Source organism: Homo sapiens, chromosome 11 (assembly GCF_000001405.40).
Source record: "Homo sapiens chromosome 11, GRCh38.p14 Primary Assembly".
NCBI classification, from domain to species: Eukaryota; Metazoa; Chordata; class Mammalia; order Primates; family Hominidae; genus Homo; species Homo sapiens.
The window spans coordinates 96,313,783-96,327,851 of record NC_000011.10 but is presented as its reverse complement, the minus strand read 5'-3'; the positions used below and the strand labels follow the sequence as shown (position 1 = coordinate 96,327,851).

The 14,069-nt window shown below is 41.2% G+C and overlaps 1 protein-coding gene across 1 annotated transcript in view, besides 1 other annotated feature; it reads left to right on the top strand.

Annotated features, from left to right (window-relative positions):
* The window catches only part of MAML2 (mastermind like transcriptional coactivator 2), a 366,598-nt gene that overhangs the window by 15,344 nt on the left and 337,185 nt on the right, over window positions 1-14,069 (top strand). The gene's annotated exons all lie outside the window — the stretch shown is intronic.
* Window positions 2,097-3,296: an enhancer, noted in NCBI's record as "BRD4-independent group 4 enhancer chr11:96057720-96058919 (GRCh37/hg19 assembly coordinates)". NCBI's record gives its function as "activates an origin of replication core promoter dependent on BRD2, P300/CBP, MED14 and CDK7 cofactors, and independent of BRD4, by STARR-seq in HCT116 cells {active_cell/tissue: HCT116}" and the evidence as "EXISTENCE:reporter gene assay evidence [ECO:0000049][PMID:35650434]".

Here is a 14,069-nt window from a genome sequence, read left to right as displayed (position 1 = left end):
AGTGCTGGGATTACAGGTGTGAGGCATCGTGTCTGGCCTGATTATTTTTAATATATATGAACGGAAGTTGGTTACATGAGTGCCTTGTTAGATAAATAAGAATCAAAGAAATACATTGAAGAGTATGGGAAAGGGCCGGGCGCAGTTGCTCATGCCTGTAATCCAAACACTTTGGGAGGCTGAAGCAGGCAGATCACTTGAGGTCAGGAGTTCTAAGACCAGCCTGGCCAACATGGTGAAACCCCGTCTCTACTAAAAAATAAAAAATAAATGTGCTGGACACAGTGGCAGGTACCTGTAATCTGTTGAGGCAGGGGACTCACTTGAGTCCATGAGGCAGAGGTTGCCGTGAGCCGAGATTGTGCCACTGCACTCCAGCCTGGGTAACAGAGCAAGACTCTGTCTCAAAAAATAAATAAATAAAATAAAAGTGTATGGGAAAGAAGATCAGTTTTGAAGGAAGTTTCTCCAGAAGACAAGAACCTGCCAATTACAGAAACTAAGGAAAAACTCCATTATATTACAATGATAAGTCTGGAGTGACAGGAGACCCCCATTCGGGTCCAGGCTTTAACTAACAGGATGACCTCGGGGCCAGTCATCCCTCCTTTGCTTCTTTATTTCCCCATCAGCAACCCACACGGGTTGGATTCCCTAGCATTTTGCTTGGCTGCATTATTCTTGTCGTACAGGATTCAGCTCAAATATCACCTCCTGGAGAGACCTGCCTGTCTACCCTAACTAGAGCAGACACACATGACTGATCTCCTTCTCTCGCGAAATCTCCCATCATGTTATCCCATTACAGAGGTTTTGTTTTCTTCATAATTTTTATCACTATCTGAATTATTTTGATTCTTTGTTTATTTGTGCATTTCACGTTGTTTCCTATATTCCGTTCAATGTAAGCTCTATGAGACCAAGAACCTGGGCAGTTTTATTCACCATAAGTATTCCAAGCCCTAGTGGTTCCTGGCACATTTTGTATTCACAATAAATATTTGTTAAGTCAATGACCAGATGAATGGCTTTTAAACTCAAGATAGTTTTTTTTTTGTTTTGTTATTTATTTATTTATTTATTTACTTTGACAGACTTTTGCTCTTGTTGCCCGGCTGGAGTGCAATTGTGCGATCTCGGCTCACTGCCTCAGCCTCCCGAGTAGCTGGGATTACAGGGGCCCATCACACCATACCTGGCTAATTTTTTGTATTTTTTCAGTAGAGACGGGGTTTCACCATGTTTGCCAGGCTGGTCTCGAACTCCTGACCTCGTGATCCACCCGCCTCGGCCCCCCAAAGTGCTGGGATTACAGGCATGAGCCACCGCACCCAGCCTAAACTCGAGATAGTTTTTAAGACTTTCAGCAAAGGGATATAAAAGAAAGAAGGAAGGGCATGCAATTGGACTCCAAGGTCTTAACCTCTTGTTTATGCATTTAAAACACACACACACACATACATGCACACACACACACACACACACACACACACGCTTTAGTGTGATTAAAAATAGAGTTCCAGTGCTACAACCATTTGAAAAGTACATGGACTAGATAATCTCTTAAAATTCTTCCCAGGTTTAAATTCTAAAGCCCAGTCTGCCATAAGAGGAAAATGTTGGTGCAAGGAAAAAGATGATGGAATAGGGTTACAGATGTTGAGTGCCTACTACATGTTGGGTCTTGTGTTGGGTCCTTGAACCACACAAGGACAGAGTTCTTGTTTAATGGAGTTTACATTTTAATGGGGGGGGGGCGGGGTAGACAGAGAGTAAACAAACAAAGGAACAAGAGAAATTTAACGGTGATACAATGCACAGCTCTTTGTTCCTTACTTCATATGGCTAATTGGAGATTGATTTGGGTTAATTAAAAGAAAGCAAATCTGGGAAACTCTGTGGAAGGTGATAACCATAAACAAATTTCTACCCACAGAGCTAGAAGAGGGGTTTCTGTGCCCGTGGCTGCTCCAAGCCTGGACATCTGCCTGCACAGTGGTCTTTTTGGCCCAGGCTGTGTGCTACTTTGGCCAGTCTGTGTGAAATGTTGATTCCGACATTTCCAGGGAAGAAGGTGGTCTTGTCAGCATCTTCTGTGCCTTGGAGCTATTGTGATCATTTTGTTAGAAATCATCAAGTTTTGAGAGTTAAAGAGAAACTGCTGAAAGGTACGGTTTGTGAAGGAGAATATTGTTCCTCTTTATAGAAACAGAAAAAAAAAAATGATCAGTGTCCCAAGGAGGTACAGGCATAAATCTAAGGAAGATAACTCGCATTTGTAATGGTCATAATAATAATATATGTACATGACCTACAGAGTCCTCACAGAAACCTTATGCTATCACTGAAAAAGATGGAGCTATCTGTAGTTTACAAATGTGAAACAGACTTGGAGAAGTTGAGAAATGGTAATAATATCTTACTTTTGAATAGCAAATTTGCAGTTTATGGAGTGTGTTATTTCATTATTTCAGTTTAAACATCATTTCAGTTTCTTCTCTGGAGTATTACTACCCTCGTTTAAGAGACAGGTATGAGAGGCTCAAACTTGTCTGTGCTAACTCCACTAGTAAGCATCAGTCTACCCCTGGGGCTCCTGGACCTATGCAGGAGGCACAAAGCTGGCAAAGTTGAATAGCTAAACCCCAAATGTATAACTAAATTTGCAACTAGATGGGGACGTTGAATGTCTTCAGCTCCCAGACATACACCCACACATAATTTGAAGCAATGACTCCCCTAGAAAGAATGGCAATCATGAATGGAATGAGGATGTCAGACACCCAGGGCACACCAAGTCTAGAATAAGAGAGGCTGAAACAAGAGTCTTGTTTTTTCTTATTTAAATCCAATAATTTGTAAGAATACAAGGCAAGATGAGAAAACCTTTTAATGTATGAAAGCCCACAATTTGGTACCTGTATTTCTTGTGGGTCCAGTCAGCCAGCAAGTCTGAGGAGCGAGGGCTACAAGGTCATTATGAAGAGAAACTTGATCTTGAATTAAAGAAGTAGACTCTTCTCTGCCACCAAGATTGGTCTCTTAACTTTTTCTCCTTACCATTGCTTATTTCAGAATGAATATATTAGATGGAACTTTAGGGAGAGACCTGAAGCTCTTTGCTGAGAAGTGATTTTGAATCCATTCAGATTCAAGTAGGGAATAGGTTTTTTAAGCCGATGAATGTTTTCTCATTACCTGGAGAAAATGTGGGGACTCATAATCGGTGGGATTTTGCTTCAAGGTGAAGATGTGCCTTCTTATTTATTTTTGTATTTCCATGGCCTACAATAGTGTCAGACATCTATTACACAAGCATTCCATAAATGTGTGTTGAACTACCCTGTGGCAAGCATGAATTTTTAAGGGACAGCAGTTCTTTATATTTCTGTGGCTGAATGTATTGTACACCAAATGTGAAATACTGATCTTCAAGGCATCCTTTTGGTTCAACACATTAAAAAAAATAACATGTATTAAGCGTTTATCATGTTTGGCACTCTTCTAAGCGTTTTCTGAATGTTAACATATCTTTGCAATTATACTATGAAATAGGTACTATCTTATTCCCATTTGGCAAGTGAGGAAATTGACAAATTAGGTGAAGGAAGATGCCCAGGTCATGCAACCACAAGTGGTGGAGTCAGAATTTGAATACAGCAGGATGATGCCAGGGCCAAGGTTTCTAATCATGACTTCGCACCTCGTATAGGAGCAGATAATTACATAGGTATTATCAGACTCAACTTACACATGGTCCAGGCCTGAATTTTGAAGGCAAGTGCAACAAGACATTTGAAAGCCAATGACAATTAGAACTAACTGCTAATCTAAGCTGCAGATGAAATTCAGAATGAATGTCTAGGGGCCACAGATTACTCTTTGAGACTGTTGCCAGTCGTCTCTTTTCTAAGAGGTAGAAAGTGCTTGAACACGTAGAGCCTATGAGTGACACATGTTTTGACTGGCATTCCAGGGTAGCTTTCAGTAGCCACCTGGAGGGCTGTGTGGAGGATTCTAAGGCCATACCTACGCATGATGGGAAAGACAGCTGTGGTGGTTCATTGTCGACATCTGCCCTGCAGGCACAGAGAAGGCAGCATGGCTGACCGGTTTCTGAGATAGATTCTTCAGGGTTGAGGAATCCAAATCTGGAGCATAATCCATAGAGATTCCGGATGAATTGTTAATTCCCATGAAGGAATGCATCAGGACCAGATTATACTGTGAGTGGGCCTCAAATCTATTTATAGAATAAGTTTGGGTTTAAATAAGTTAATTCATTGTAAGTGCCTTGAAGACAGATAAGTTCCTTGAAGACACAAAAACCTCTTATCTCTGAGCATGCAGATGGGTTTTTTTTTTTTTCAGCATTTTGTAAAGGGCAATACAAACTCAGCTTCACTCCCTCGCCAACCTGCAACCAGATCGTTCTTCCTAAGCACCTCTTACATGGAAATTCTAAAGATACCATTACTGTGGTGAATATTCTGAGGGAAATTCTCTTTGGCTAGAAGGAGCAACAGAAACGTACAGATGTGTTTAAAAAAAATGGATACCCTAAACTTACGTGATCACTGGAACCTTCTTTGGGGAATCACATTTTTCTATAAGCTGCCTTTTAAAACATTTTAGCAAGTATGTCTTGAGATATTGTATCTAAGCCCCACCCTCAGCACTAGGAATGGAGTGGTGAATAAGATAAGTTCCATGGTCTCTTGGAGAGTGCTTTTTTTTTTTTTTAAACCAGTAGCCTCTTTTCATGCTAGAACATAAATGATCCAGCTTCTTGAGTTTGTGAGTTCCCTAAATTGAATACACAACTTTGTGCGATGGCATATATGCATTTTCAGTGTGGACGCATTCCACAGTTTCGTCAGATTCTCCAGGGGTTCCAAGGGCGAAAGAACCTGAAGCCTAGGCCTGTGGAGATGGGAAGACTCCACTAATACTAGGCACACTGTGATTCTCCACTCTACACAACAGCTAACTCTAGGACATCCGGCATTTCCTTTCTTTGTGTGTCTGTTCATTCTAGTTTCAGGAATCTGAAGAGAAAGCAAACGTAACTTTCTTCATGCCTAACATATTTCCTTTACGTTGGACTTTTGTTATCTATTTTGTTATCTATCTAGGCATTTTCTTGTTTCTTTTTTTTGAGACGGAGTCTCGCTCCGTGGCCCCCAGGGTGGAGTGCAGTGGCGCGATCTCGGCTCACTGCAAGCTCCGCCTTCCGGGTTCACGCCATTCTCCTGGCTCAGCCTCCCTAGGAGCTGGGAATACAGGCGCCCGCCACTACGCCCGGCTAATATTTTGTATTTTTAGTAGAGACGGGGTTTCACCGTGTTAGCCAGGATGGTCTGGATCTCCTGACCTCGTGATCCGCCCGCCTCCCAAAGTGCTGGGATTATAGGAATGAGCCACTGTGCCCCGCCCATTTTCTTCTTTTCTAAAAGGCAGTCAGTCCTCAGATAGCAGCTGAACTCTTTTCATTCTCTTTTGCAGTTCAGGTTTGAGCCCAGTCCAACAATTTTTTGCTTTATTTTTAAGTGACCTCTTACCATTTTCAGGCTTCCTCCCCTCTCACCTTGACCTCTAACTCCAAATTTATGTCTCCTTGTCATTGTGGGGAACTTCTTGGAGAAAAGGTTAAAGCTAAGTTGGAGCTCTGTCTCGGGCCTTTCATAGCAACACTGACTCTTATTATTAGCGGTGCACTCCAGGCTGCTAGAGTTCATATTTTGGCAGTAGACCATCAAACACCCTATTTTTAAGAGCCTTTAACTTCGTTGTAAACATGTGCTGTGACTGGGAGCTTATTTTCTTTACTCATATTTACCAAAAGCAATTTAGCTGTTGAAAAGTTGCTATAAGGAAAAAAACAACAACAACAACAACAAAAAACTCGGCCTTCAGGAACATTTTTCCACTCATATAACTCAAAACTGTTCATGATCTTTAAAAAAAATTGGCATTTAGTTGTTTGATGGTCCAGTCATATTGGTAATTTGAAGGGAAGAAGAAATGGAACTGCTAGGTCATTTTGCTATGACAAATGTCCATTAAACACATGTGGAGGGAATAGTGTTGGCCACACATATTTTATATGATTGACCAGAACAGAATGGCTCAAAGAAGGCAGTCTAGTATACTGAGTAAATCGTTTTGCCCTTAAAATCTCCTATATTTAGAACAAAAACCTTCTATAGACATACTTCCTGCACACTCTAAATTCTGTAGACTCTACTAGTCCCATTAGGAGAACAAATAATATCCCAAACGCCAAGCATCAGCTTGTACATGCACTGATGGATTATTGATGTCTGAGGACCTTGAAAAAGAATCTACAGAAATATGATAAAGGAAGGAATATCGCAAATATGTCTATTTCTTTTGTCTCTGGAAGGAATTTAAGCAAGTGTAACAAAACACATAGTAATCTTTTGAAGCGGTTGTGACTTCTGGCCTTCAAGCGGGAGCTTTAGGAGGAATTTCAGTGTTAAAAAGGAGAGGCTTGAACTTTGACATCTTTCTCTCGTGATTTAAGATTCTAAAAGTAGTGTTAGGCAAATTCTTATATTCCAGCACAGGAGAAACACCAGCTTTCCAAGAGGATTTAGCATTTCTTCATCCCTTTAGCAATACAAGAGGGCAACTGTGCTCAGAGGTTGGCTACATTTGTGAAGTGGGAAGTATAGAAAGATCTGGAAGTATGTTTTCAGGGTCACGAGCCCAGTGGGCAGCCATATGCTGTGGAAGTACCTTGGCCTGGAAACCCTCCAGCTAAATGATGAGTGTGTCTTTCTACACAAACCCTATTTGAAGGCATGTTGCTGCAGTGTTGTTTTTACCCCTCAGGTAAAATGTTATTTTCTACCCCATATCCGAGGCAGATAAGCCCTGAAATTGGCCAGCATGTGGATTCCACATGTTTTCTCCCACTCTTCCAACTGGATGTGCTCTTGAAAACATTGACTTTCTTGGTCCTTGTCATATGATATGTTTTCTTATTGCCATACTTCCTGCTCTGGTTTTTCCATTTCTCTCCATTTCAAGTACTTTCAAAGACAAGAATCTTCTGGTTGTAGCAGGCATTCATTTGCTACAAATGCTGGCTGTTTTTCCAGGCATAAGAAATACACACACAAACACACACACATCTCTACCTCACAAACTCCTATTCCTGTCTTCTTATAGTAATAATGAATTGAAGACTATCACTGTACATTAATCTGGAAATTGACAAGAGAATGCCTCTATACCAGCAGAAGTTGAGTAGGGTAAGGGGGAGATATAATACAATCAACCCCCAAGTGGGAATTGTCTACTCCACTCCTATTAGATCTGCTCAGAGATGAGAGTGGATGTTCTGCCAGAGCCATTTCCAGAGTCAGCAAAATGTGCTTCTTCCCTGAGTTGCCATGAGCTTGAGTATACCAGAGGGCTAGAGAACAAACTCAAAATTATATTCTTTAGTCAGCTGAGCAGAGTTGCTTTGGAGCTGTGATGAGTAGTTTCATGTCTAATGACTCCCTTACTCCAGCCTCCCAGTGTGTCAGCAGACCCCTGACTGTACTTCATTGCTTAGGTTTGCTGTGGTGGAATTTGTTAGTTGACAGGTGACATAATCCAATCAATATAACAAGGAGTTCATTCCACTTCATTCCATTTTCCTCCTTGTTGAGTTGCAAATATTTCATAGATATATCCTAACTCATAAAACGCCTTTGGTGGGAAAAGTATCTTTGGAGTTGTGTCTAGTTTGCATGTCTCTTATCTTTCTGGCCAGCATGGCAAGTTCACTGTAGCTTCTGCAGAATGAGCTGGTAATTCTCATCAGTGAATGTTCTCTGCATGATTTTTTGAATGAGATGCCACTGTAGGTACTTTGCCAAATTCAGAAAAATCTCAACCACCTCCTTCTGAGAGTTGGCCTTCAGAATGTACGGACTGTGGTATGCTCATTGGCATCCTAGTGCTTGTTGCAATAAAAAATTATCGGATTATTTAGTTTTATGGGTTATGATATTTCCCCTAACCTAGAATTTAAGTTCCTGAGAAATTAAACTAGAATCAAAATTATTTAATGTCAGCAGGAAGATTTTTCCTAAAAGTTCACAAGAATATCTCCTCTCTCCTTTGGGGGAGATGTATACTCCTCCTCCACATAACCATAACATCACATCTGGGCCCTATTGTACCTATATCTGTGCATAACTAATTCAATGAGTAGCAAAGCAAAAGAGACCATAGCAAGACATAAAAATATATCTTGTGTTTCAAAAGCTTCTAGGAGGGAGAAGAGTTTGTAAAATTGAGCTATTATTTTAAAATTCTCTGATGGCATGACTTTTTGTTCAGAAGATAGTTTCCAGTTGCCATGCTAATAACATGACAAGATTAATTTTAGCAGTTATCTATTGCTTTGTAACAAATTACTTCAAAACTTGGCAGTTGAAAGCAGCAAACATTTATTATTTCACACATTTTCTAAGGGTCAGACTTTTGCGAACTGCTTAGTTGGGTGGTACTAGCTCAGGATCTCTCATGAGATGGCATTCCAACTACTGGTTGGGGCTGCAGTCCCCTCAAAGCCAGGTTGAGGATGGAGGATCTGCTTCCAAGTTCACTCCCATGGCTGTTGGGAGAAAATCTCAATTCCTCACTGGCTGTTGACCGGAGGCCTCAGTTCCTTGCTGTGATGGCCTCCGTATAGGCTGCATGAGTGTTCTCAAGCAGTTAGCTTTTCCAGAAACAGTGATCCAAGAGAGAGATCAGTATAGAAGCCACAGCATTTACAACCTTATCTCAAAAGTCACACATTTTCTCTTCTGCCGTATTCTACTGGTCACATAGGCCAAACCAGGAACAGTGTGGGAGAAGACTACACAGGATATGAGTACCAGGGAGTAGGCATCACTGGGAGCCATCTTAAAGGCCATTTAACACATTAATGAATAAACATTGGCCAATAGCCCAGGTTACCATGTCCTCTTCTGTGTTGTTAATTAAGGAAGGTTATACCACTGAATATTTTAAAATTTGACCATTAATTAATTTCATAGGTATTCAATGAATGTCCCCTATATACTGAGGACAGCTATTTTAAGTCCTTAGGATATATCAGGGAACAAAACAAAGATCCTCACCCTCCTGAGTGTTACATTCTGTTTTACATTCTGCTTTTCATATAGCAAATCTCACAGGTCAGTGGGCCCATGTAATTAGGATAAGTACAAGGACATCAAACCGTTGTTTCAGACTGAGTATGCCTTGACCAGACTTAGCAGGAAATAGGGGTATCTGTTTTCTTTATCTGCCACAATAAGGGTTTTTTTGTTTTGTTTTGTTTTTAGAAAAATGTAGCAACAATATAAACTCTCTAGTGATTGCATTCTTCTATTAGTTAACTCTCTTAAATGATCACTTCTCTGTCTTTGATAGCTAAAGTGAGGAAGTAAAGTATATTAACTTAAGAAATAAGGTTTGGGGTCCGATCATATCGGATTTTAGTCATAAGTCTCTTGCTTACTTCTTCCTGTGTTACCTTGGGCATGTTGCTTGACTCATCTGAGCCTCAGTTTTGTCATCTCATCTCTAAAATGGTGATAATAGTGGCACCTTTCTTGGAGATGTAACCAACAAATGACCTAAAGCATTTATTACAGGATCTGGTACATAGACACTGCTCAGTTTTATCTGCCCTTTCTTTATTCTAACCACATCTGTGTACTGACTCATTGCCAAAAGTTGCTATCAGAAATGACCTCCTAGTTCAACCCAAAATATCCAAGATATTAAGAGGCCTAGTAACCTCTAAAGCAACTCTCACTTGCCAGTTGTGACTGCCACTTGCATATGTACTGAGTGGGAAGAATAACTCTGGATTCACAGCTTGTGTTAAAGTCTTGATTTGTCCTCAGGAGTTTACCATTTAGATACGTAAAAGCACTTTCAATAGCCACCTGATGTTTTCCTACTCAGGCTGTTCCTGTTGAATATGCTCTGCAAATAAGTCATCTGTCAGCAAAGGAACCTGGAGAAGAAAGACGCAGGTGCCCTGGGGTTTCTGTCTCCTTCTGTCAGTCTTGGCACCTGAGCTAGGAAGCAGCTGATTTTTCTTAGCCCAGCACTGACCAAGGAGCTGCTCCCTGCCACAGAAGTTCTTGCCTTTCCAAAGCTGGGCAGCCTGCAGCCCTATTTTCAGTTCCTCTTGTCATTTTCTTTCCTGGAGTGACCATTAGAGAAACTGGCAGTAAGAGGGAAGGGACACTAGTAACTTCCAGCCTCAGAAAGAATATAACAATTCAGTAGGTTGGTATGTTTTGGTAAAGGGAGGCACAGTATAATTCTTGAAGACATCTGGTATTTGAAAATTTGTGCATCTCACATACCCTCATAATTTCCCGGGCCTCTACTGGGAATGAAATGTGTGGCTCTTTTGGAGACACAGGCTTTTAGGAAACTCTCAAGTCTTGGAAGTTTTTGAAATCATCTTGGCTTAAGCATTTTAGGCATTTTTGGAGGTCGGATATGAAATGTATTTTTTAGCTTTGAAGACACTGAAGCATAGACGTTTTAAAGCTATCTATGCTTCCAGGTGGCTTCTGGGTGCCTTGAGAGGCACCAATGTATAGATTTGCAAAGGTGCATCTTTCCTTCTGTGGAAGCTCTGTTGGCTTCATGTGTGACCCAGATGGAACAATTTACTCCTTCCACAGGCACCATTTCAGTGAATGCAAGCAGGAACAGGACACCGAGGAACATCTGTGGAATGCAGGCCTGAAGCTGAAGGACGAGTAAAACCAGAGGGCTTGGCAAGATAATGAGCGCCAAGACACTGAGTGCTTAACTCTTAAATAAAGTGTCCACCAGAGTGGGGAGGGGGCTTGGCCCCAACAGCAGAGGAGGAGTCCAACTATCTGCTCTTCTATGTGCCATTGGATCATTTGCTCAGTTCCATCTTCAAAGCATAGCTTGAATCCCCTGTCTGGGCACCACTTTGGCCCAGTTCAGGATCCCCTCTCCCCTCGACTGCTGCAATGGCATCTTCTTTCTAGTATTGTCCATACTGAGTACAGCAACAAAAGTTAACACCTTTCAACATACAATTGTTTACATCCTACCCCTGCTTAAAACTCTTAAGTAGCCTCCTGTTGCACTTAGAATAAAATCCAGGCCCCTTACGCAAGCCTGTAGGTCCTGCTCATGCTGCTGCCTGCCTCGCTTTTCAAGCCACCTTTGCTTACTACACAGAAGTTGTGTGTGGATCATTTAATTCTCCAAATGAGCCCAGATCTTTCTCCCCAGAGGGCCTTTTATTATGTTATTTCTCCAACTCATCACCTGGCTGCCTCCCACTTAATTTTTAGATCTCAACATGAATGGTAGCCTTATTGAACATCCCTCCTAAAGAGATTACTCTTCTGTTATTCTGTATCTTAGCCCCTTCTTTGTTTTATTTATAGCATTTGTTACAACCTGCATTTTCTGTGTTTATTTATGTATTGGTTCCCATTCTGGTCTATCACTCCCTTTAGAGTAGAAACTCCATTTTATTGCCTTTTTCATTTGTGTATCTGCAGTACCCACCAGAGTGCTTGGGTATACTGGTTGCTTCTTGAATGGGCAAGCAAGTACCCTGACTTATTCTATTCCAGAAGATAGGGTATAAAGGAACAGCAGGAATAGGTGCTTCTGTTTTCCCTAACAAATCCATCCCTCTAGAATATTAAGTGGAAGGATATTACAAGAGTATGCAACAAGTGACCCACTTACCCAGATTGAAACTCAAGGAACTGAACCAGAGATCCCCTCATTCTGTTTTTCAGAAAAGTCACAGGCTTACATATTGCTGAATGATGGCAAGGCTATGTCCACATGATAGAAAAACTGTATATCCCAGTTGACTGGTGCTTTTGGCTACCTTAATGGCTTCAGTCTACCTGCCGATCTGACCATTGGGAAAAAATTAGTTGTGAAGTTGCATTATGTAAAACTGAAGCTTGTGTAGTCAAGACCAGGGTTTCCCTATAGTTCCTCACAGCCAGCTCCTCTGTGCAGGGACTGGATGCATAGCCTGGCTCAGAGAGGATGGTAGGAGGCTTTGAGCCAAGTATCCTCAGGGACAACTAGATTGCTCTCTTCTCTGTTGGGCCTTCTGGGTACCACGCATGATGAGATTGAGTCATTCTGACCTGTCAGAGTGGGTGAGTGAATGCTATATGAAGATAAACCAAGACCATTAGAACCCTTTGAATCCAGAGGCACAAAAATGTAAAAAGCTCTATGAAAAAAACAGGAGTCTGGAAACTGTTAACAAGATCCTAGGACTAGTTTAAATTTTAAAGTGTGAAAGAGATAGCATTGGAATAAATAAAATGTACTTCTACTTTATACGGTAAGTGGAGATAAGCATATAGGAAAATCAGCCCAAGAGGTAGTAGCTTGAATGAAAATATAAGTATGAAATAAATTAGATACAATATAAATATATTTTACAGGAAACCAAAATGGATTATTTAGGGAATGTTTAGAGTTATCATTTCCAGCCTTTAAGGTTAACAAGAGGACAACTATGTCCTTCCACAAATTATCCATTGGCACCGTTTTGTCCTCATTTTTTCAATACCATTCCCCACCTTCCATCTACATTAGGACCATGAATTGGGATCAGACATTGTCAAGTATCCCCTGGAAGGCAAAATATGTCTGATGGAGAACCTCCTCTTTAATATACTCTTTAGAACTAAGGAAAACAGCCCAGGTTGTTGAAATCAGATTAGGAAACTCATACTATCTATCTCAGAAGCTTTCTAGTGCCTACTGTAACTAAATGGAACCTCTAGGGTTGGCACTTTGTTGTTTGGAGTAGGACAAATGTTTGGCCTTTTAAATTGTGGAGTAAGAATACAATTCCTCACTGGTGGCTGCAACACCAGCTTCCCGTTCAGAATGCTGACTTTGTCTGTCCTCTGGCCTAGAGTCTGGATTGCAGGGGGCTGGGATGGAGCCATGCCTGCCCCTGCCACTCCCATAACTACTTCCCCTCTGGACCCATTTGAAGGAAGGCTGTTTCTGTGCCAAACATTTATATTGGGTACAAAATGAGTCTATATTATCTTCTAGACAGAATAATGGAACAGTAGTTGACTCAGGGCTAGAATTTGGGAGGCATCTTGGAAAAGGGGAAAAAAAGTTAAGCTGCCTATTTTCCCGTTTCCCTGTGTTTTAGGTTATCTTAGCAGAAGGAGTTGAAACAAAGAGAAGGAGGTGGCAATGCCACCGTGTAAAATGCTTATTATACCTCTTAGATACGTGCAGCACTGGTCACCAACCCACAGGAAGGATGTTGTTATTGTCTGGGAGTGGGTGAGGCCTCATGAAAAATATCTGTGGTATGAGGAAATGTTAAACAAGCTGGTCTTGTTCTTACTAGGAAAGAGGGGATATCAAGAGGACTTAAAATGATTCCAAACTACCACTCAGAGTTAAAGGTGTTGTCTTTGAAATAATCCAAAAAGACCATCTGTAGCAGGCCCTAGCAGGCCACAGGTTTATAAACAGCAGCTGGCTGGCCTAGCTCAGGGGGCACAGGCCAAGAGGCCACCTGTGACTCTTGTCCCGTTTTGGTATTGGTTTTCTGTCTTTAAATCACATCACCCAGGGCTCAAGTTAAGCAAAATCTTCTCTGCAGAACTAGCCTTAGGAGACCTTAGAAAGTTCCCTTTCTTGAAAAATGCTACTTCAGTTTGCCTGAAATTTTTTCCTTTCCTTTTTCATATCCCTGCCCTCTCCCAAAGACCCTATGGGGAGAAGAAGACAAACAAATTTAGAAAGCAGAAACACCAGATGAATTACTGTGCTCCTACTCAAGCTACTTCACGGGATGTATCAGGGTACTTAAATCACCTGATTCACCTGGCATCAGAACCACCTGGAGTGCTTGATAAACTGCAGATTCTAGGGTCTTATTTCAAATGTCGAAAAATCCAAATTTCTGCTGTAAAACCCTAATATCTGCATTTTTAATCAAGTATGAGGACCTTCATGAGGATGGGTATATTTGT